At 38.3% G+C, this 25,923-nt stretch overlaps 1 protein-coding gene across 1 annotated transcript in view; it reads right to left on the reverse strand.

The window, feature by feature from the left end:
• HEATR5A (HEAT repeat containing 5A) overlaps positions 1–25,923 on the reverse strand; it is a 128,763-nt gene that overhangs the window by 97,794 nt on the left and 5,046 nt on the right. The window contains exons 2-6 of the mRNA NM_015473.4: positions 13,269–13,468; positions 10,720–10,931; positions 9,092–9,200; positions 5,618–5,767; positions 4,471–4,645 (exon numbers count right to left, since the gene is read on the reverse strand). Of these exons, the coding sequence (NP_056288.2) occupies positions 4,471–4,645; positions 5,618–5,767; positions 9,092–9,200; positions 10,720–10,931; positions 13,269–13,394 (772 nt within the window). The 5' untranslated portion in view covers positions 13,395–13,468. The remainder of the gene's footprint in view (positions 1–4,470; positions 4,646–5,617; positions 5,768–9,091; positions 9,201–10,719; positions 10,932–13,268; positions 13,469–25,923) is intronic.

Genomic DNA, 25,923 nt, shown 5'->3' on the forward strand with positions numbered 1-25,923 from the left:
CAGGAATGTTTAAGATCGACTTCAGTTTGACACAGCTGGGTTTCTCCCTGTGACTAGATAATATTATCTCCCCAAAAAAAAGAAGAAACCATTTCTCCCTTGAAAATTAATGGTCACAAGCTCTGACCCTCTACAAGAGTACAGAAATAAACTTTTGTTACAGTTATGAACAAAAAAACCTCCTCCCTAGCCTAAAGAAAACCATCTGAGACAAATGAAAATCTAACTTGGCATTTGGGGAAGAAACATTATTGAATAGTGCAAAATCCATGCTCTGTGGATCATAAATTCTAAGAAAAGACAGCAATAAACGTAATAAATGACTATGTATATTAAACAGTGATTAAAAACCATGCAGAAAACAGAGCAAAATGAGGTCAGGAATATGGGGGTGGAGTGAAGTGTAGTTTGTGACTTTAAATAGGGTATTGGGGTAAGATGCATTGAAATGGTGACATTTTAACACAGTTTGAATGTAGGGAAGAAATTAGTCATGAGGGTATCTGGAGAAAAAGTGTTCTAGGCAGAGGAAATGGCTATGACAAAAAGGCCTTTATAGGATGCCAGGTGAGTTTACACAGAGCAATGGGGATGGAGCAGTGGAGGGGGTAGGTAGGAGACAGGTCAGAGTGTAAGGATGGTAAGAGGGCAGAAGATATAGGACCTTGTAGGTCATTATAATAAGGCTGTGACTGAAATGAGGTGCCAGTGGAAGACCGTGAGCAGACGAGTGATATAATATGTCATGCTGCTGCTGTGTTGAGAGAAGATTATAGAGGGGGGTAAAGATAGAAGCAGGGAAAACCATTAGGAATGATTTATTAATGTAAGCAAGAGATGATAGTGACTTGGATCAAGGTGGTTAAAGTGAAGTGGAGTGAATGGAATCTGGATACACATAAATATATATTTTAAACTTTTTATTAGAAAAACTCAAAATTAGAAAAAAGCTGTAAGAATAGTATAATAAACTTTCATATACAGTCACGTACTACATAAGGACATTTTCTTCAATGACAGAGATCACATATATGACGGTGGTCCTGTAAGATTATAATGGAGCTGAAAAATTCCTATTGCCTTGTGACATTCCAACACATTACTCACGTGTCTGTGGTGATGTTCACGTAAACAACCCTACTACACTGCCAGTCATGTAAAAGTAAAGACCATGTAATTATGTAAAGTACATAATACTTGATAATAAACAACTGTTACTGGTTTATGTATTTATTATACTTTTTATTGTTATTTTAAAATATACTCTTATTTATAAAAAGTTAACTACAAAACAGCTTCAGGTAGGCCCTTTAGGAAGTATTCTAGAACAAGGCATCGCTATTACAGGAGATAACAGCTCCATGCGTGTCACTGCCCTTGAAGACCATCCAGTGGGACAAGATACTAAGGTGAAAGACAGTGAGATTGATGGTTCTGACTCTGTGTAGGCCTGGGCTAATGTGTGTGTTTAAAAGTTAAAAAAAATTTTTTTAATAGAAAAAAGCTTATAGAACAAGGATACAAGGATATAAAGAAAATATTTTTGTAGAGCTGTACAATGTATCTACGTTTTAAGCTAAATGTTACTATTATTTCTAGAGCAGTGGCAGGATCTCAACTCACTGAAACCTCTGCCTCCCATGTTAAAGGGTTCAAGTGATTCTCATGCCTCAGCCTCCCAAGCAGCTGGAACTACAGGCACATGCCACCACGTCCCGCTAATTTTTGCATTTTTAGTAGACAGATGAGGTTTCCCCATCTTGGCCAGGCTGGTCTTGAACTCCTGACTTCAAGCAATCCATCCGCCTTGGCCTCCCAAAGTGCTGGGATTACAAGCATGAGCCACTGCACCTGGCCCCTAAATGTTATTATAAAAATATTCAAAGGAATCAAAAATTTTAAAAATTAAAAAGTTTATAAAGTAAAAAACTTTTAGTAAACAAAGGCTAATTTATTATTAAAGAAAAATACACATTTTTTAAATTTAGCATAGCCTAAGTGTACAGTGTTTGTAACATCTACAGTAGTATACAGTAATATCCTAGGCTTTCACATTCACTCGCCACTCGCTGATTCACCCAGAACAACTTCCAGTCCTGTAAGTTCCAGTCATGGTCAGTGCCGTATAGGTGTGTACCATTTCTTATCTTTTATATCATATTTATACTGTTCCTTTTCTATATTTAGACATGTTTAGATACACAAATACCATTGTATTACAGTTTTCTCAGTATTCAGTATAGTAACATGCTGTAGAGGTGTGTAGTCTAAGAGCAATAGTCTATACCATATAGCCTAGTGTGCAGTAGGCTATACCATCTAGATTTGTGTAAGTTCACTCTATGATGTTCCCACAATGACAAAATCACTTCATGATGCATTTCTCAGAATGTGTCCCTATTATTAAGCTATGCATGACTGCATCTACCTGGACTCATCACATTTTCCTCATTACTTTCTCACTTCTGAAGAATACACTTATGGCCAGTTGTTTTATAGAATGGCCCTTGATATGAGTTTGTCTGGTATTTCCTCCAAATTTTTGACAGAGAACTATGTAAGTGATGTTACATCCTGTTCAATGCATAACATCAAAAAGCACTGCCAGGTGTGGTGTCAGTCTGTCCCTACACAGATGATACTAGCTTTGAACATGTGCACAATGTAAGTCTGCCACATTTTTCCACTGTAAAATTATCATTTATAATTATGATGCAATGTATCTGGCAATACTTTAAGATGGCCTGAGATTGGATAAGACCACAAGACATGCTCTCTTGGCTTTCTTTCCTGCCTTCTCACTGGAAATTTCTGTTTTGTCTTCTTCAATGGTTTCTTGTGTTCTCCAAGAGAAAACTCATGACCTAGTACCTGGTCTGCTCTTCTCTATGTATACTCACTGTCTTGTGATCTTATCCAATCTCATAGCTTAAATTCCATCTCTATATTAGAGATTCCTGAATAATCACTATTAATTTATTCCTAAAATAAATATATTTATTCCTAAAATTTATGAATTTGATGTCCAGTCTTCTCTCCTGGGCACCAGACTCTCATATCCAGCTGTCTATCTGATATCTCTATTTCGATGTCTAGTTAATGTTCCAAATTGTTTTAAACTCAGTGCTTGATCCTCCTCCCTGACACATACACAGCCTGCTCTACTTGCACACTTGCTCAAATCAGTTGATGACAACTCTGTACTTCCAGGTTTTCAGCCCAAAATTCATAAAGTCATCCTGGACTTCTCTTTCACACTCAACATCTATTCTATTTGACTATTCAAAAGATTCAAAAGCAGAACTCCTTAGAGAAATGGCTAATTCTGGGGTTGGGGCGGAGAAAGTAGTAAGCTGTGATTGCACTACTGCTCCACCCTGGGTGGCAGAGTGAGACCCTGTTTCCAAAAACAACAACAATGAAATCACTAAGACAAAGCAAAACTGTCCAAATACAATAAACTACAAGTATCTAGAATTATCTACATTATATGCTCCATTGTACCAATCTAAAAAATGGCAAGCCAAATATATGTAGTCAGATGCATGCTGCTTTAAAAAAAAGAAAATTCAGTATTTAGATCATATCGTTTATTGGATAACACTTCACAATTACTTTAAAAAAAATATATAAAAATAAGGCCATGGCTGGGGGGTGGTGGCTCACGCCTGTAATCCCAGCACTTTGGGAGGCCAAGGAAGGCAGATCACCTGAGCTCAGGAGTTCGAGACCAGCAGAGCTAACATGGTGAAATCCCATCTCCACAAAAAATATAAAAATTTAGCCGGGGATGGCAGTGAAAGCCTGTGGTCCCGCCTACTCAGGAGGCTGAGGTGGGAGGATCACTTGAGACCAGGAGGCAGAGGTTTCAGTGAGCTGAGATGGCACCACTGCTCTCCAGACTGGGTGACAGCAGACCCTGTCACACACACAAAAAAGCTGTAATGTAAAAGGAAGACAATGATTGCATAAAGTACACCACACTTCAAGAGTTCTTGTAAATTTTCCTCAAATTTTTACTGAATTGTTTCAAATGAAATCTCAGGACCTACAGCAATGTTTATGAATTGAAATTGATTTTTTTTTTTTGAGATGAAGTTTCGCTTTGTTGTCCAGGCTGAGATTGTGCAGTGGCGCAATCTCAGCTCACTACAACCTCTGCCTCCTGGGTTCAAGTGATTCTTGTAATCCCAAGTAGGTGGGATTGCAGGCGTGTGCCATCACACCAAGCTAATTTTTGTATTTTTAGTATAGACGGGTCTCACCATGTTGGCCAGACTGGTCTCAAACTTGTGACCTCAGGTGATCCACCCGCCTTGGCCTCCCAAAGTGCTGGGATTACAGGTGTGAGCCACCATGCCTGGCCTGAAATTGATTTATAACGGGTAGCAATAACACTATACATATTTGTTTATATCAACTGGGGAAAAAATTACAGAAGAGACTTTGAAAATAATTACATGTATTTACCTGTTCCTGGATGTTTAGAAATTACAGCTTTAGCTAATATTATGCCTAGTAACTTTGAAACAGAAATCCGCACATCATAATTGGAACCTTCAAAGGACTTAAAACACAGTGTGGCCACACTGTCCAGGTCCGTACTCCACATAAAGATGGCTTCATTCTGAAGTTCAAGGAGACACTATTCAATTGGACAAAGAGAAATTAATGAAAAATAAAATACAAATGTCAGGTTCAGAGCTATGTAAGTTGCAGAAACTATCAGCGTCTAACAAATAATATACAAATTCAAAGTATCTATTATGATTACAGGAATAATAAATGGATACTTATTAAAAGTCATAAAGATTATATTATAGAAGAGAATGAACCTACAAAAGGTGGGAGGAGAACCCATTTCTAACTCCACAGGTTATGAAAAATGCCTTTAGAATCAATCTATTGGCTATGAACAACTGGGAGAATAATTCCAACATTAAAAAAACTCTGGCTGGGCACGGAGGCTCACACCTGTAATCCCAGCACTTTGGGAGGCCAAGGCGGGCGGATCACGAGGTCAGGAGATAGAGACCATCCTGGCTAAGATGGTGGAACCCCGTCTCTACTAAAAATACAAAAAAAAATTAGCTGGGCATGGTGGCAGGCACCTGTAGTCCTGGCTACTCAGGAGGCTGAGGCAGGAGAATGGCGTGAACCCGGGAGGCAGAGCTTGCAGTGAGCCGAGATCGCGCCTCTACACTCCAGCCTGGGCGACAGAGTCTCAAAAAAAAGAACAAACAAAAAAACTTTACTGTATTCTCTTACCAACTATGTTAAGAAGCTATAAATTAAAAATAAAACAAAAAATCACTTTGAAACAACATAAACCTCACATGTAAATTTTAATTTACACAATTACGGAGAAAACATAGTAGAGTAGAATGAATACTTAAGATTCTGGAAACCTGAACTTCCTACCCTCTGACAATGTGTTGCTAACTCTTTGAACCTTGGGAAATTCATATAACTCTGGGCCTTAGTTTCCTCATATGTTAAAATGAGATAGTCCTAGCTGACTACCAAGATCATGTAGCTTTTACTAATGCTTTCACAAAGAAGCTGATTTACTTTTCTTTATATTAATTTTTAAAGTCTGCTTATTAGATCATTTTACCTTTGCAGCAGCACAACGAACAGCCATGGATCTATCTGTCAAGCAGGATCTAGCAGCTTTATAAACATCCCTGTGACAAGGTGCAGCGGCAGCTCCTAGTCCATTCAATATATTTTGCAGACTTAGCATAATCTCATATCGGCCTTGAGACTTCCAAAAAGAAAAAAAATTAAATAGGAAAAATAATTAAACTGCAAAGAACAGGATTAAACATTGATATCTGTCTCTCATACTGAAGAAATATCCAGACTTCTCTACATACTAACCAACCCATTATGACATCAAGAAACAAGTTACTATTTTATGAAATATTATTTGAAAAGTTACTTGTATACACTGATTTTCAACATGATACAAATTTCACAGGGTTGATGTGAAGATTAAACAAAATTACATGAAAAGTGCCTAGCAAAAAGCTTACATGCCATTAAGCATTCAATAAATAGTTGCTATAGTCTAAGCTAACCTATTAAAAATGCAGGGTCTGCCATTTACTAGATAGGACCTTGGGCAAATCTGTTCCTTCATCTAAAAAACAGAGGTAATAGTATCCCTCATAGGCTGTTGTAAGGAATAAATGAGTCATACACACAAAGTGCTTACAACAAGCCCAGACATACAACAAATGTTCAATAGATTTGGTAGCTATACTTTGTTATTATTTATTGGTTGGAACAGCTTAACTCACAGTTTAAAAGTCTTGGCTTTAGAATTGAAAAAACCTGGGTTTGAACTTCTCTGTGACCCGCAGTAACTTTGTGACTTTAAATTGTTCTTATTTCCTCATCTATAAAATGAGGATAAGATGAACCTCATGGGTAAACATTCACCACAGTGCCTGGCACACAGTTAAAAGTCAAGAAATAGTAGCTGCTTGGCTGGGTGCGGTGGCTCACACCTGCAATCTCAGCACTTTGGGAGGCCAAGGTGGGCCGATTGCTTGAGCTCAGGACTTCGAGACCAGCCTGGGCAACATGGTGAAACCTTAACTCTACAAAAAATACAATTTTAGTCAGGAGTGTTAGTGCACATCTCTAGAACCAGCTACTCAGGAGACTGAGGTGGGAGCGTGGTAGTGCACACCTTTAGTCTCAGCTACTGAGAGGCTGAGGTGGGAGGGTGGCTTGAGCCTGGCAAGCAGAGGGTGCAGTGGGAGGCAGAGGGTACAATCGGAGGCAGAGGGTGCAGTGAGTACAGACTGCACCACTGAACTCCAGCCTGGGTGACAGAGCCAGACCCTGTCTTTAAAAAAAAAGAAAAAGAAATAGTAGCTGCTTATTTTATTAATGTTTTACTAAATGCCTCAAATCATATCTATATCCCAGGAAGTTGGGCCACTGAAGGTAGAGAAGTTGGAGTTGGAGGAAGACAAAGATCAGCATCAAGAATCATTTCATAGTAATATTGTTAATTTATCTTTGTTTAAAGGCACTTAAAAGTCATAGGTGAACATAATAAAATAATGCTAACGAGCAACTTCAGAACTTTTCTTTTATTCCAGTTCCAAATGTTGTGTATCACTGGTGAGTGTGGACATCTCTGAAATGTTGTGATACCTGATCAACTAAATCAAAGATCAAAAGTAGGGAATATGGCTCAAGGATGTTAGTTAAAAAAATTTAAAAAATAGGGGAGCAACAATATACTTATCAGTAACTTACAACATTTTCATAACTATAGAGTAATCCTCTATTAACCAAGGGGCCTAAAAAGTGTTAGAACTTAACCAGTGGAATTAGGAGGAAGAAAGTTTAAAATGACTGTATCTTAGTAAATAAAATTTCTTACAGATATCTGCTTTTAAATAAAACCAGACTTACAGGTATTAAAAAAAATCTGTTCTCCTTAATCATTTTCTTCAATCTTTTAGGAAACTATTGCTGAGAAGTGATCTGATGAGCAAATTTTCTCATCAGTTTTACGTTAGAGTCTTCACTTCTTAAAGTTCTTGAATCAGCTACGTCCTTCTTAAAATTTAACCTATTTTTTATTGGAATTTTCCCATGTTTTGCCTTGTTACATTTTTTAAAAATGTGTGTGTGACTTTCCAACATTTCTATAAATTACTTCAGGGCTGTTCTCTAGATTATTTTTGTAAATAAAGTGACAAGAGTAACCAGTGTGATGTTTTTAGATTTTTTTTTTTAAATAAATATTTTTTAAGAGACACGGTCTTGGGCCGGGCATGGTGGCTCATGCCTGTAATCCTAGCACTTTGGGAGGCCGAGGCAGCTGGATCATTTGAGGTCAGGAGTTCAAGAATGGCCTGGTGAACATGGTGAAACCCCGTCTCTACTAAAAATACAAAAAATTAGCTAGGCGTGGTGGCACGCGCCTGTAATCCCAGCTACTTGTGAGGCCGAGGCTGGAGAATTGCTGGAGCCCAGGAGGCGGAGATTGTAGTGAGCTGAGATCGCGCCATTGCACTCAAGCCTGGGTGACACAGCTAGACTCCGTCTCAAAAAAAAAAAAAAAAAAGGGACAGGGTCTTGCTCTGTCACCCAGGATGGAGTCCAGTGGCATGACCATAGCTCACGACAGCCTCGAACTCCTGGGCTCAAGTGATCCTCCTGCCTCAGTCTTCCGAGGGGCTAGAACTACAGGTGTTCACCACCATACCCCAACTAATTTATGTTTTTGTAGAGACAGGGTCTTCCAGTGTTGCCCAGGTGGTCTCAAACTCCTGGCTTTAAGTGATCCTCCCATCTCCTCTCAAGTAGCTGAGATCACAGGTGCGAACTACCATGTCCATGTTTTTATATTTAAAGGTGCTAAGTTGTCCTTACATATTAGGGACCACGGATTTAAACCTTTTGCTAAACAAACATATAAATGCTTTCATTTCAAAACCAGTAAAACCACAGCTGGCAAGAGATTATAGTATCTTAATATCTTAAAGTCAAATGAAGAGACAGTCTCAAAAACAAAGGGTGTTCCAGAGGAGTAAGTGACACAAATATTTCAATGAGGATAAAGTTGAAAATATACTCCCTTGGCAATTAAAAGGTCATCTGGATCTGGTCACACATCCTCTACACTCTTTCCCCTCAGATTATATTCCTTACTACCTTCTGATGCTAGTACAGTAACTCATCTATCCATAAGGTATACAATGTTTATCAACTATGTAGTCCCTGGTGACAAGCAGTTGCACTGGCACCAGTTAAGTACTATCAAATAGAAAAGATGGAGTAAGAGGAGAGAGTAGGGATGGGACTGTAAGTGGAATACGTTAGTTTTCGCCCGCTTGGATTTATATGAATACATGAAATTCTACTGCATTACTATTTTTCTAACTGGGATTCAATATACAGAGTACATACAGTGCATCACCTAGAAATATTAATTTATGGGTACATTTATATTCATATCTACATATGCTTGACATATGTAAAGCTCTTTGATTTGCTCAGGAAAGCATAAACCAATAAAATGCTGTCTTTTCATTCTTTGGCTGAACTTGTAATTACTTACCTCTGCACTCTTCATAGCTTTAAGAATATTCCCCACTGTATCAGTAAAGGTGTTACCCAGTATTCTACCCAACTTCTTGTACAAGGAACCCAAACATACCACAGCAGCACTGAAACAACATTTAAATTAGAAATTAGTCACAGCTGAAAAAATAGGAATAAAAAGATCTTAGGATATGTAAGGATAACTGTTGAAAAATATCCCCCATTCTCTTGTCTTTTTACTTTCTTTGTATTATCCTTTGAAACACAAACATATTTAATTGTGATGAAGTCTCATCTATTTTTTGTCAGTTGTGCTTTTTGGTGCTGTGTCTAAGAAACACTGCCAAAGCCAAGGTCACAAAGATTTACCCCTATGTTTTTTCCTATGAGTTTTACAGTAATAGCTGTTACACTTACATCTATGATCAATTTTGAGTTAATTTTTTATACATGGTGTAACAGAAGAGTCCAAATTCATTCTTTTGCATGTGGACATACAGTTATACTGGCATCATTTGTTGAAAAAGTGACTATTTTAAATTTTGCTTTGAAAGGATAAAATTTCTAAGAATCTATTCTGTGGTTAAATCCTAAGGCACGACACTTAGGTGAATATGATTATACTTTCAATAATAAGGATGTATCAATCTGTGATTACTCTACTATTCAGCCCAAAGATTACACACCCTCAAGTTTGTTACAAAATTCTACAAAATATTTCAACAGAACTCAGCTACATATTAGATAACAAAAAGATAAGCTTAAAGATAAAAATAAAAACAAGAAATAATGTTCTCATCAAGTTTGAAATCTGAAAACTTTATGGGGGAATACATTCTGTTATAAGGTAAAAATGAGACCAACAAAAACTTTATAGAATTATGACATGGTGGCCAGGTGCAATGGCTCATGCCTGTAATCCCAATACTTTGGGAGGCCAAGGTGGGTGGATCACTTGAGGTTAGGAGTTTGAGACCAGCCTGGCCAACATGGTGAAACCCCGTATCTACTAAAAATACAAAAATTAGCTCGAAGTGGTGCCATGTGCCTGTAGTCCCAGCTACTTGGGAGGCTAAGACAGGGGAATCGCTCGAACCCAGGAGGCAGAGGTTGCAGTGAGTCGAGATCACGCCACTGTACTCCAGCCTGGGTGGACAGAGATTCTGTCTCAAAAAACAGGAAAAAAAAGAAATATTACATGGCTCATTGCCTTTTTAAAGATAATAGGTGATAAAATGAACTAAATCCTATAGAGAAACTAAGCTGTTCTTTTTAGGATCTTAGCAAATACTTTTCTACATGATATTTACTATCAATTTTCATAACCAAGAATGAATAAATTATAAAAGCATCCAAAAATGTGAAGAATTTAAAATATCTTTCTTAAACACTCAACTGCTAAAATTTTAGGAAGATGTTTTGAATCTCAAATCTAGACTTCAAATACGTCTAAAGTATTTGTAGAATTGTTTCTCAGCAACTAACATGAAAAGTGTTAGTTTCTTTTTTAAGTTAGATTTTGAAAATGAGTAAAACTGAGTTTGCATTCAGTTTCAAAGTAAATGTCAAGTACTATGGGTACTTCATAAAAATACAACAGGAAGCAATATTTTGTTTTCTGTTCTGTTTTAATGTTTCACTTACAGCTTAGTGGGAAGATAACTTGGAGAATCATCTTTGCTACGAATAAGATCATTACATTTATCGATTGCTTCATGAACGGAGAATGTGTCTCCAATACTATAAAGTATGGCTAGATTCTTAGCAAGCAGTTTGCGGGTAGGAGGCCCTGGGGAGCTGTTCAACAAAGACAGGAGCTGTTCAACAAGAGTCTTCTGTTTCTCCCTTACATCATTCTAGAAAGAAAGATAACACAAAGACAATTCAAAGTCAATATAATTATCTGTAATCCCCTAATATAATTTTTCTTTCATATATTTAAGAACTAAAAAGGCTCTAGAAAAATACAAACTTACTTTGACTGGAAGTTACAAATAAGTTGGTAGTGTGGTCATTATGCCAGACTAATCAGGTAGTTTGCTGCCCTGCTAATAATAAAAAAGCCCTCCAAAAATTCCGAACCACATTACACTGCAATCTCTGTTAACAAATATAAGGGCTCTATGTATTCGAAATCTTTCTTCTTTTGTTTGAAAGGCAGAGCAAATTTGTATTATTATTATTATTGTTTTTTTTTTTTTGAGATGGAGTCTCGCTCTGTCGCCCAGGCTGGAGTGCAGTGGCCCGATCTCCGGTCACTGCAAGCTCCGCCTCCTGGGTTCACGCCATTCTCCTGGCTCAGCCTCCCGAGTAGCTGGGACTACAGGCGCCCGCCACCATGCCCGGCTAATTTTTTGTATTTTCAGTACAGACAGGGTTTCACGGTGTTAGCCAGGATGGTCTCGATCTCCTGACCTTATGATCCACCCACCTCGGCCTCCCAAAGTGCTGGGATTACAGGCGTTAGCCACCGCGTATTATTATTTTTAATAGAGACAATGTGAAATGGTTTGGCTCTGCATCCCCACCCAAATCTCATGCTGAATGGTAATTCCCATGTTTCAGGGGAGGGGCCTGCTAGGAGGTGATTAGATCAAGGGGGTGGATTTCACCCATGCTGTTCTTGTGACAGTGAGTGAGTTCTCACAAGATCTGATGGTTTAAAAGTGTGTGACACTTCCCCGCAACCCTTCCTGCCATGATGTGAAGAAGGTCCTCACTTTCCCTTCGCCTTCTCCCATGACTGTTTAAGTTTCCTGAGGCCTCCCACTCATGCCTGTTAAGCTTGCATATCTGTGCATTAATTAAACCTTTCTTCTTCATAAATTACCCAGTCTCAGGTAGTTCTTTATAGCAGTGTGAGAACGGACTAATACACAAGGTCATACTATGTTGCCTGGGGTAGAGTGCAATGGCTATTCATAGGAGCAATTATAGTGCTACACTACAGCCTCAAATTCCTGGGCTCAAGCAATCCTCCTGCTTCAGCCTACCATGTAACTTGGTCTATAAGCATGCATCACCATGTCCAAATTTGTATTTTCAACTACAGCATCTGAGTTACTAATCCTACACCTCCCTCATATATAGCTGCATAAAGCAGTAAACTATAATCTATAACCAGAGCTGACCTTGTAATGGCTACCTGTTTTATTCAGGTCTATTCCTAAGTGTAGGGCAATTTTCTTTTTGCAAGCTTACGTATATAAATGTTAATAACATTATTCCATTTTCCTTGTCTGCTATCTGAATAAAGAGTACACAGTATCATTATAAAGCTAATGGTATTCAGGTGCTCAATGAGGCCTAAAATTCCACAATAAAATATTTGTCAGTGTATAGAATTTTGTCTTTTGTTTTTTTTTCCCCAAATCTAGAAGTTGCTTTTTTTCCCTCTCTTAAAGATCAGCAAACTTGTCAAATATTTTGATAACTAGAGTCACACAGCTCCCTGTTGTCTCAGAACAAGAATGTGTTTTGGAATGCTACTATTTTAAATTCATAAATAAAATGTCTTCTGTTAAATTCTAAATGTCTCCATGAGTAGTGTTTTTCTACCACTTTGGAACTGCATATAGTACTGTGATTATGTGAAAAAATGTTCTTATTTTTAGGAGACGTAGGCTAAAAGTAAAGTGCCACCTCAATGGCTTAGTAAATTAATCAACCAAACACGGCAAAATGTTACTAATTGCTGAATGTAGGTGAAGGGTATGAGTGATCAGTTTTCCTTTTTCACACTCATGTCATAAGCTTTGAAGAGGGAATCTGTTTATCCATAGGCTCTTGAATTCATACACCTCAAGTCTTCATACCTTTTTAAAGTGAAACTCCCACTACATTGTTTAGCCACTATACTGTACCAGGGCTTTATGTACACGGAGGAACATAGATGCAGACCATAACAAAAACGAAGTATAATAGAAAGTAGTTGTAGTTGGTGTTTCATATATTTTTAAAGTAATACCAAAAACATTAGCTAATTTCTTCCTGCTTTTCTGAATAGCGAAAACTTCTTCTAATAATAAAAATTCTGATGAGGGAACAAAAAATGTAATATACTTCATTAAGTTTTAACAAAGTCTAACATTGTAAAGCTAAATTAGGTTATTCTGGAAAAAACTAGAAAAGCAAACCAAAGGAAGTAAACATGGGCACTTAAACAAAAAAACAGATGTTGTCATTTTACCCACCCTGCTGGTTGCCAACAAGAGCTTCTCCAAGTATCTCAACCACTCAAAAATAAACTCTGCCTTCTGAACTTCACCTAGTTGATTGTATGCTTCTTCATTCAGCAGTAAGCTATGAGCTAATTCCATTCCTTGCAGCAATCCTCCCAGCTGATCACAGTTCTTCTCGTTAAACTTTGGTCAATATACCTAACAATAAAAATCTGCAATACAGGAAAATAATGTATTTTAAAAGGGGGGTAAAAAGGAAGGCAATCATAACGGAAATCAGAAAAGTGAAAACATAATTAAATGTATACATTTTTTATAAATGCTCTAGGGTGAATCTGGGAAAATCCCAATAATGTTCTAGTTAACACTGACATAAAATCCACCCTTATATTCTGTACTCAAGCAGACAGGCAAAAATAGAGTAGCAATATTTGCATTTGTATGCAAAAACTTGCTAAACAGAAGAGACATTCCACTAAAATTCTGAAAATTTTAAGATTAGGCTGTTTATTCTGTGTTGGGTTTTCTTTGTAGTTTAAGTAACTTACTAAAATGGGTAATAGGTACATATTAACAAATGACACCAAACATCCAGACCTTCTACTAGAATTCTATAGTAAAGCTTGCCATCTCTCTGAGCCTTTGCCTAGCTAGGTACATGCCCTGTCATTTACCTGGAGATCCAAGAGGGACTTAAGCCCATTAGCATCAGTTCCCCCAGCCTAATAAAGGCATTGCTTATAGTTTCAGGCTGGGAGTTTAGGAGAGTCCAGTCTTAACTAGGCTTATCTCTGAAAGTCTTGTGAGAGCAAACTTTTTTAAATGGGTATTGTCCAGGAATTATAGCAATCAAGATCATATCTGCTCTGACCTAGATCCAATGCAGCCTTAATTTTGTTGTAGCAAACAATCAACAGAAGACACAGGGTTTGTAAAATTATTGTTTTATTCAACAGCATCTCCTGGGTACACCTTAGTGCTGTTACAGAGCACACGCAGCATATAAGTGTATGTATATACATACATATTCACATTAACATACAAATTTATAAGATGGAATTGTGATTACTAGACAGAATTTTTTATTTTTAGGACATGGATGCTTTACTGCAACTTACTTTTTAAATGGTTAAATCGTGCACTCAACCATAAAATATGGCAAAATGTTAACAGCCGAATACAGGTAGTGGGTATGTGAGTGATCATTTCACTACTCTTCATTTTTCCACATTTTAAAAAGCACAACAAAAAGTAGAAAAAATTATTTAAGAAATAAAACACAAGTTGGCTATTAAAAAATACTACTACTTGCAGGAGTAGCAGCTATCATCAGGAACATTAAAGAACATAGAAGGTACCAGATCATATACAAAAGATGGGTATTCCTATTCACTAGTGTACCTAAATAGAAACATGTTAATTGGAATTTCATAGGAATGTAGATAAAATGCTATGGCTAATTTAACTAAAATATTTAAAATACATATCTTACATTTCCCTAAACAAACCTCATACTTTTACAGAGAAGCCAGTAACTAAAGAGGTATTAGAAAATTAGATGACAGACTTGGGAAAGGCTTTTCATTTTTTCATGTTTTTCTCCAACAGTTTACCTGTTTGAAATTACTTAGAATATCAGCTCATCATAATTATAATATAACTGAAAAAAGCCTCTTTAATAAAAAGACAGTAGTCACAAACTGGTTCCCTGTTGGTCAAGACTGCCTGCAATGCATTGGGGCTAACATTTAAACATAAGAAGATTGCACATAAAAATCTGGGTCCAGGGCCAGGCACAGTGGCTCACACCTGTAATCCCAGCACTTCGGGTAGCTGAGGCAGAAGGATCGCTTGAGTCTTGGGTCCAGGAGTTCGAGACCAGCCTGGGTAACATAGACGGACTTTGTCTCTACAAAAAATTTAAAAATTAGCCAGGCATGGTGGCGCGTGCCTGTAGTCCCCGCTACTTGTGAGACTGAGGTAGGAGGATCACTTGAGCCAGAGAGGTGGAGGCTTCAGTAAGCCATGACCACACCACTGCATTCCAGCCTGGTGAAGAGTGAGACCCTGTCTCAAAATAAAAAAAAGAAAAAATCTGGGTCCAGTGCCATGTGCGATGGCTCATGCCTGTAATCCCAGTACTTTGAGAGGCCCAGGCAGAAGAACTGCTGAGGCCAGGAATTTGAGAGCAGCCTAGGTAACAGTGGGACACTGTCTCCACCAAAAAAAAAAAAAAAAAAAGACGAAAGAGAAAGAAAATATTAGGTCATTTTCAAAAATGTCACTTTTACAGAACAAAGAATATAAACGATGTGACCAGGTGTGGTGGCTCACACCTGTAATCCCAGCACTTTGGGAAGCCAATGCAGGCAGATCACCTGAACTCAGGCGTTTGAGACCAGCCTGGGCAACACGGCAAAACCCCATCTCTACGAAAAATACAAAAATTAGCCAAGCATGGTGGTGTGCACCTGCGGTCCCAGCTGATTGGGAGGTTGAGGCAGGAGTATCGCTCGAGCCCTGAAGGCAGAGGTTGCAGCGAGCCAGGATCACACCACTGCACTCCAGACTGGGGGACAGAGTGAGACTCTGTCTTGAACAACAACAAAAAAGGAATATAAACAATGCTGCTAAACATTCATTTTTACTGAAGCAACAAAAATTCTAGCTTGTTTTAAAAAACCCTCCTTTCCTTTGTTCAATTATCAAAGTGAACTAGCCAAAATATTCACAATTAAGGATACAGTTAATAAATGCTACAGAAATAATTTCTGGAAGAACCCTACTAAATACAGAAAAGGCGAAAAGCAAGTTTGCACTTAGTATCTATGATTGTTTGGGGGGTGGAAATAACCACAGTATCATAGAGAAAATTTCTTATTAATACCAGGGCAAGTCAAAATCCTATCTTCAGAATCAAATTACCCTTTCTAGAAATCATTAAGATCTGCTGAAGAGACATTTTTTTTCCTTAGGCACCAGCAATATTGTGGTGTAAAATGATCTATCAAGAAGCAAAATAGCTAACACAATGTGATGATAAATTATTCAGTAAAAAGCTTGAGATCATAAGCAGGTCATAAAGTCATCTCTAATGCCCTCAATACATTCCTTATGTAAATTACTCCTAAAGGAAGTAGACAATTCATGTTGGTAATCTCGCATCTAAAACTCACAAGTCTAAAATGCACCTGAGAGCTCCACATTCGCACTACCAATGTGATAAGCAAGGGCATTTTGCAAACAGATGGCTGCTGCTCTTATCTGAAGTCTTACCTCATCAGGAAGATGAATACAAATTCAGTCAATGTTATCTGCTATACGTTTTAAAATAACCACAACCCTACATATACCTGAGAAATGCTTATTTTTCTAATTTTTCTCTTAGTTTCCCTTATGTTTCTGTTGAGATTATAAGGTGATTTCCTACAAGTAAACACATATGTCAATATATTTAAATATATTTTTCAAAGTATAGTTAGTTGCCACTTGAAAAAAGGATTTCATAAACCTGCTGCTCCAAATGTAATGCCAGCTATATTTAACAGAAGCAGCTAATATTTACTGCTTACTTATTATAGTCTAAGCAGTACTCTAAGTGCTTTACATTATTTCCTTGAATAATCTGCCAAATTGTCCATGAAGCAGCTATTTTGATTAGCCCTATTTTACAGATGAGGACATTGAAGCACAGAGAAGCTAACTGACTTTCCCAAGGTCACACAGAACCTGGGTGTGCACTTAAGCAATCTGACTTCAGATAAGATTTGTTTTAACCACAACATACTATGCTGCCACCCTTTCATCCAATCAAGCTCCTCAAAAATGTGAGAAGTTAGGCCAGGCCCAGTGGCTCACGCTCATAATCCTAGCACTTTGGGAGGCCAAGGCAGGTGGATCATCTGAGATCAGGAGTTCGAGACCAGCCTGGCCAACATGGTGAAACCCTGTCTCTACCAAAAATACAAAAAATTAGCCGGGCATGGTAGCATATCCCTGTATTCCCCGTTACTCGGGAGGCTGAGGCATAAGAACCGCTTGAACCCAGGAACCCGGGAGGTAGAGGTTGCAGTGAGCCAAGATCACGCCATTGCATTCCATTGCACTCTAGCCTGTGTGACAAGAGTGAACCTCTGTCTCAAAAAAAAAAAAAAAAAAAGCGAGAAGTAGGGCCGGGCACAGTGGCTCACGCCTATAATCCCAGCACTTCGAGAGGACAAAGCAGGAGGGTTGCTTGAGCCCATGAGTTCAAGACCAGCCTGAGCAACATAATGAGACCCCCATCTCTACAAAAAATAAAAAAATTAGCTGGGCATGGTGGTGCACACCTGCAGTCCCAGCTACTCAGGAGGCTGAGGTAAGAAGATCACTTGAGCCCAGGAGGTTGAGGCAACAGCAAGCCGTGATCAAAAAACAAACCCAAAGCAAGTCATTTTTTAAAAAGCTTACATTTTGTACACCATTTGTGGATATACGGAACTAGAGTACACTGTTTCCCAAAGACAGAACATCAGGTTCCTTGGTGTAATAAACTTGGGAATCTTGCATTAAGACAAAGTTAGGGATTTTTACCTACAAGATTTCTCAGGCTATTTAATTAGGTTAATGTATATTATGACTCTCCATGAATGCAATATAGTATGAAGTATTAGTCAAAATGCTGCCAGCACCTAGCAACTTCTAGACCTAAGCAAACTGTTCCAAGGAGAAACATTAACATGTACCTGTTATCATCACTTATTTTATTTATATATATATATATATATATATATATATATATATATATATATATATATATATGTATTTTGGAGATGGAGTTTCACTCTTGTTGTCCAGGCTGGAGTGCAATGGTGCGATCTCGGCTCACTGCAACCTCCACCTCCCAGGTTCAAACAATTCTCCTGCCTCAGCCTCCCAAGTAGCTGGGATTACAGGCATCCACCACCACACCTGGCTAATTTTGTATTTTTAGTAGAGACAGGGTTTCACCATGTTGGTCAGGCTGGTCTCGAACTCCTGAACTCAGGTAATCCATCCGCCTTGGCCTCCCAAAGTGCTGGAATTACAGAGGTGAGCCACCATGCCCGGCCCTATTAATGTATTTTTAAAAGCTACACAAGAATGTTAATTCCATTACTTTACAGCCAAACATTGTATGTGCTTACCCTAAAGCCAATAACTGAACTAAGTTATAAAGGTATTTAAATGCTTTTAGACTAGGTATTTCTCTGGGCACTATTTGCTTCTCTCAAAACTGTCTGTACTTTGTACATGACAGATACTCCTAGTTACTCAGTCATCATTTTCATACCAGAGGTCTTTTATGTTGAGAAAAGTAGGCACTGCAAACTAGACCTAAGGTACCAAGGTAACATCCAAATTATGCTTTTCAAATTGGGATAACTCCAGCATTGTGCCAACAGATTATGAAGCATATTACTATGCTAGAGGTCAAATTTAGACTAAAGGGTCAAATTTTACTTAAAGTTTTCCCTAAGCATTAATTTTTAACATTATTTTATATTAAAATACAGATTTATGCATAATAGAAGGCAAAATTAATAAAACACTTCAAGATAAAACATGAGACTTCAAAGAAATCCTGAGAATGATAATGCCTTTCTAGATGTCCTTTAACAAAAATCACTCCCTTTTGCTGATAAGAATACTATTTTAATGGAAAAATTGAAGAACCACTAAGCTATGAGTAAGTTGAACTATATGAAACTGCCATTTTTATAGGTGAAAAAAAAGGCTGGCTTGACAATTTATGTGATTCAACTTAAGTACCAGTCTTCAAATGTCAGACATAGTGTATGTACTAATGTCTGTACTTTGCATAGTATTCTTTCCTTTCGATTGGCTCTGTATTAAGCCTAGTGACTTTATTAGCCTAGAGTAACACATATGTATATTATTGACTACTAATAGAAAAAGGAACCAGCAGGGCACCAATATTCTAGGGCCAGAGTTTTCTTTTCTTTCCTTTTTTATAAAGATGGAGTCTTCTTTGGGAGGCCGAGGCGGGCGGATCACGAGGTCAGGAGATCGAGACCATCCCGGCTAAAACGGTGAAACCCCGTCTCTACTAAAAATACAAAAAATTAGCCGGGAGGCTGAGGCAGGAGAATGGCGTGAACCCGGGAGGCGGAGCTTGCAGTGAGCCGAGATCCCGCCACTGCACTCCAGCCTGGGCGACAGAGCGAGACTCCGTCTCAAAAAAAAAAAAAGATGGAGTCTTACCCTGTTGCCCAGGCTGGAGTGCAATGGCACAATCTTGGCTCACTGCAACCTCCGCCTCCCGGGTTCAAGTGATTTTCCTGTCTCAGCCTCCAGAGCAGCTGGGACTACAGGCACATGCCACCAGGCCTGGCTAACTTCTGTATTTTTAGTAGAGACAGGGTTTCACCATATTGGTCAGGCTGGTCTTGAACTCCTGACCTCAGGTGATCCAACCGCCTCGGCATCCCAAAGTGCTGGGATTACAGGCGTGAGCCACCATGCCCGGCCTCAGAGTTTTCTTTTCTAAAGTAACTTACTCCAAAACCACATCTAAGAGCAGTTAACAACCGTATTATCAGGCCAGGCGCAGTGGCTCATGCCTGTAATCCCAGCACTTTGGGAAGCCAAGGCTGGCAGATCACTTGAGCCGAGGAGTTCATGACCAACCTGGGCAACATGGCAAAACCCTGTCTCCACAAAACATACAAAAGTTAGCTGGGTGTGGTGGTGCACACCTGTAGTCCCAGCTGTTCGTGAGGCTGAGGTGGGAGGATCCCTTGAGATAGGGAGATGGAGGCTGCAGTGGGCCAAGATCGCGCCACTGCACTCCAGCCTCAGCAAGACCCTGTCTCAAAACAAACAAAACCAACCATATTATCAACAAGGGTTGGTTTTAATTCATTTGGAAATGAGTTAACTTCAATTTTATTTAGGCATGACAGTGTAAGCACCTTCAACAATGTCAACAAATATACAGGCTGCTGATTATTCTGGTCCTGATAGAAACTGCTAATATAATTTTCTCTCTCTAGAGTTTACAGGTCTATTTTGGTATGGACGGAAACATATGTTGAAATTTATTGGGAGAAAAAAGTATTCTAATCTTCTTGGTCATTTTAGTTCCTTAAAATGATTATATCATTTCAAGGGCGGAAAAGGGAAAAATCACAAATAATCAAAGAGGACATTGGACATGAGATAAGATAGGTTTATTGGATTGGTTTGTTAGTGTCTTCCTTCTGGAGCATGAAAATAATTCACAAAACAAAAAAGTTACTAAACAGTAAATGAAACTAATTCCAGAATGTATCAAGTACCTGAAGTGTTGGGATACGTCTCAGACTTAAATTTCAATTATTTTTCTTTGACTTTTACTTCTCTAAAAGACACCGTAACAGCTTCAACTCACCCTATAGTCTTAGTTCCTCAGTTCTGAACAAAAAGCATGAAGTAAACAAACAAAAAAAACCCCAACTGTCAAGAACTCCCACAATTCAAGAAACACAGATAAATCCTAAAATCTAAACCTCTCCCAAAAATACAGTAATTAGCTTTCATCTAGAAGGAAGCTAGATTATTCTACCCTGACCTCAGATTTTCATTTGTGATTTAGGCTTTGCAAAATTATACGTTACAAAAACAGGAACTCACCAGTTACACAGAGCATTAGGCCACACTTGAGATGTTGCTTAAAGAAGGCTGCCCCTGGTATAAAGAAAATTAAGTCCTTTTGTTACAGTACTTTATACATCTCTAGGCAGAATCCTAAAGCTGGTTTGCTGACACTTAACTGGTACACTTTATTAGTTTTAGGGTAAAATGGATAAGAAGCAAGTCATTTATAATGTTAGAGTTCTTTAACACAGTTAAAACTTGATAATTTAAAAATCTTGTCTGTATCAATTCCATCTTTGAATCTGAAATATCTTGCTTCCTTCTTTCTACAATAAAATACTTTAAAATTAGGCTAAAAAAAATCACTTGCCTCAGAAAACAGCAGAAAAATCTCTGAAAATGAAATTCAAACTTAGGATATTATTCTGTATGACCTTAATATTAGTCTTTCTAATTCTCTATAACAACCCTACAAATAAATTGGCTATCATTAGTTAAAAATTTGAAATGTTAACAATATAATAATGATTTAAGCTCAATAGGAAATAATTTGATTGAGCTGAGTGGTTCAAACCTATGCATATTAAATCTAAATATGAAAAATGCAAAAACTTTTATAGCCAATGCTGAAATTTTAGAAAAGCTGATAGTTTAATATAAACAGTGGCAGTACAAATGGTTCAACTCTTTTAGAAAAAAATATTATTTATCAGAGGTTACAAAAATATCAAAACCATTTGACAAAAACATCCAGTTTTTGAAAATTCATAAGAAAAAGGAAAATATAAGTATAAAAGTATTAATTACAGCACTGTAATTAACTGTAATTCCAGTGAAAATTCAAAAGAACTTACAAGTCCAACACAAGAGAAATGGTTAAATTTGACATATTCAAAGAATACTAGGCTGTCATATAAAACCATGAAAACTACAAATGCACAGGAGTGCAAAAGGCTTAATGGGAGGAAAAAAAAGTAAAGAAAACTACGAGTGCAGAAGTTTTACATGTTAAGAGAAACCTTCAGATAAAGCAGTGTTTACCAAGAGTACTTTGTGGAATGCTGCCAGAAGAATGAAAACATGTATTCTGTGGGAAGAGGGGGAAATCCAAGTTGAAATGGTTTTGGGAAATGCCTCGTTGTCAGTTTTCTTCACCAGTTTCTCCATACATGTAACATGGTAATGTGCACTATGTACTGCCAAGAGGGTGTGCAGATAGAGCATTTGATGTTTCTAAACATGTTTTAACCATAGGCTTCTCCTCCACTCCCTTTTTCTTTTTTTCCCAGCCAGGAATCTCATAGAATTGGTGTTCTATAGAATACAATCTTTGAAATACTAATCATTAAAGACTAGCATACGTCAAAAAAATTTAAAATTTTTTTTGTTCATATTATAAAATGATTTCTTTCTTTTTTTTTAAGACAGTCTCGTTCTCTTGCCCAGGCTAGAGTGCAGTGGTGTAATCTTGGCTCATTGCAAGCACTGCCTCCCAGGTTCAAGCTATTCTCGTATCTCAGCCTCCCAAATAGCTGGGATTATAGGCATGTGCCACCATGCCCGGCTAATTTTTGTATTTTTAGTAGAGACAGGGTTTCACCATGTTGACCAGGCTGGTCTCGAACTCCTGGCCTCAAGTGATCTGCCCGTCTTGGCCTCCCAAAGTGCTGGGATTACAGGCGTTGAGTCACTGCATGCAGCCTGAAATGATTTATTGCTAGTAGAAGGATATATAATTTCCACTATCAATGACTATCAATGTCATACTTCTACTTAAAAGAGGGCATTTCTGATTAGTATTTTGGATCAAATTATCTATATAAACAGAATCTTCTCATAAAGATGTAAATAAAGAAAAAAGACGACAGCCAGGTGCGGTGGCCTGTAATCCCAGCACTTTGGGAGGTCGAGGCGGGTGGATCACGAGGTCAAGATTGAGCTCATCCTGGCCAACATGGTGAAACCCCATCTCTACTAAAAATACAAAAATTAGCTGGGCGTGGTGGCACGTGCCTCTAGTCCCAGCTACTCGGGAGCCTGGTGACAGAGCAAGACTCCATCTCAAAAAAAAAAAAAAAGAAGACAAATATATGATGTTTTAACTTTGTATATTTAAGATTTATCAATTCACATAAAAATCTGTGTTAGTCTGTGGCCAGGTGCAGTGGCTCACGCCTGTTAATTCCAGCACTTTGGGAGGCTGAAGCAGGCGGATCACCTGAGGTCAGGAGTTCCATGGAGAAACTCTGTCTCTACTGAAAATATAAAATTAGCTGGGCGTGGTGGCAGGCGCCTGTAATCCCAGCTACTTGGGAGGCTTGAGGCAGGAGAATCGCTTGAACCTGGGAGGTGAAAGTTGTGGTGAGCCAAGATGAGGCCATTGCACTCCAGCCTGGGCAACAAGAGCCAAACTCCATCTCAAAAAAAATTTGTGTTATTCTATAATTGTAAGTAACTTTCACATATACATCCTTTACAAACTAAAAATGCTTGTTGTACTATATATTTTAAAATTTGATTTACGGAATTCTGAATACGAATTCCCACAGTCAAATGAATCCATGTTTTCTAACTCGTACCACAAAAACTTAACTTATGACGAACCCCAGGCACGGCACTAATACTTCTAATTGTAATATATAATGAAAACACATTCAGTGTACCAAGATGCCAAGAATATTTCCTGCAAACTTGGTAGGAACGGGAAGAATGTTGCCGCTCACCACTGCATAATACAAAGCAATATGAACAGCAAATACACACTGCTCTAAGAACTGATGGGGAGCACATCTTATTAGGATGGAGAAGTCAGGGTGGAGTAGGAGAGAAACAGGAGTTACCAAGACAAAGAATTTAACACCGGGACAAGAAATTTATAAGAAGTGGGGTGAAAAAGGGTTACAGGTTGGGGACTGAATTTACTCTGCCTTCTTTTTTTTTTTTTTTTTCCAAAATACTGCATGTTATTGTAAGGAATGAGAAAAATGGTAGAAGCTGGATTCCATGATGGCGAGATTGCCAGTGGGAGCCCTAATTGGACTATAACTGTGTGTAGCAATTCTCCTTCCAGATTACAAAAGAGAACACCCCGGAAGCGTAAAAGAAAGTGTTCTGGGGGGTGGGAGGGGATAAGACTGAGCAGTAGGAACCAACTCTAAGATGTCAGTGACAGAAAAATGATTATTTTTTGAGGATCTACGTACTAAAACCTTTTAATTCACTATCTCATTTAATCCTCGTAATACTGAAACTTAAGATATTATTATTCTAATTTTACATAGAAAGATAATGAGCTAAGAAATTTGTCCGAGGCTGAAATGCTACTTAAGTGGAAGAAGAAGGTAATGTCCATGTCTGTCTGTCTAAACGTCCACATTCTTTCAACTACTTCATATAGTCTCTACAGTAATCACTGCTATTACTAATACAGTTATTGCCATAGCTGGTGAAGCATCCAGTCCTTCTAACTTTGTTGTTCTTTCTCATCACTTCACTTTTATGTCTCCAGTACTTTGAGGCTTTTTGTTAGTGTTATGTCTTCCAGAGACATCAGCTTTCAGAGAGCCCTTTCCATCTAGACGGCAAATCAATAAGTACTAAAAGTATTAGTTTAGTCTTTGGCTATTCTTGACTATTTTTATTATGCTTCATTCCACACACCAATTCTCCCATCTCTCCATGGAAGGGGGATTTCATTCTGGACCTTTAGGAATGCCAGAGGCAGATTTTAAGTTAAGAAGTTTTACTTTTCTTGTATCTCCCACCACACTCTTCTGAAAGTCACTAGCTAGCAATCACACTACTTGGTACCTAACTGAGATTCCAGTAACAGGAAGTAAAAAAACAAAGTCTATAGAGCAATTGTTTCAGAACTCGTGGATTTTACTGACATAAATCCATCAAAGCCTATTCATTCTTAGTTTAGACATGACTAATAATCCAGTTATTTGGATTCTAGATAGAGAAACACATTAAAAGTAAAAGAGCAAACCCACTAAGAGCAGGAAGCTAACAGTGATGAAAGAGACAAATAATATTGAATATAGATATTTTTAAAAGCAGAGCAATATAGGGCTACTTAATACAGGTGCAAAGTGTACAAGATGCCATTATTCCTCCAGCACATCAGGGTTTACAGGAGAGGCCAGAAATTCTTGCCCCCTTTTAAAAATGAGTCAATCCTTGCATCTGTTGCTTGTGCAATCTGCTATCTAGGACTTCCAAGTTTAGGCATTAGACTCTACCTGCTTTGGAATCTTCCTTTTCCCTCTCCTCTAATTGTTCATGTCTCTTACATCCCAGTTAGAATTCACAGATTCACCCTTAATCCACACTATGGTCTAATGTCCTGGCTCTTCCTCATGGTTCCTACATTTATTTATTTATTTGTTTGTTTGTTTGTTTGTGACAGAGTCTCACTCTGTCGCCCCAGCTGGAGAGCAGTGGCACCATCTCAGCTCATTGCAACCTCTGCCTCCCAGGTTCCAGTGATTTTCCTGCCTCAGTCTCCTGAGTAGCTGGGATTAAGGCGCGCACCACCATGCCCAGCTAATTTTTGTATCTTTAGTAGAGACAGGGTTTCACCATGTTGGTCAGGCTGGTTTTGAATTCCTGACCTGGTGATCCGCCTGCCTTGGCCTCCCAAAGTGCTGGGATTATAGGCGTGAGCCACCACGCCCGGCTGGTTCCTACTTTTAATTCACAACCTACCTCATAAAATTTAGCTACCTAACCTAAAATTTAGCTAAATTTCTAACCTCTTGGAGCCTCACCTGAGGGCTTTCCTTGGCAGGCACTGCTTCTCACTCCCTGCCAGATGTCCAGCTAGGCTCTTTGCAACTACAGCTCCCTGGAATAACTCCGTATTATTCTGCCTTCTGACTGCCACTTTCATGTCCTACTCATGGAATACAGTAAACATACCATCTATTCCATCAAATCCCCACAATTGTCTGGAGCAGCACTCTGTAAATCAAACTAACTGATATTTCTGCAGCAAAAGATAGGCAGATTCATATTCACATACGATGGGATAATGACTGCAAATACC

This window comes from Homo sapiens, chromosome 14, assembly GCF_000001405.40.
Source record: "Homo sapiens chromosome 14, GRCh38.p14 Primary Assembly".
Taxonomy (NCBI): Eukaryota; Metazoa; Chordata; class Mammalia; order Primates; family Hominidae; genus Homo; species Homo sapiens.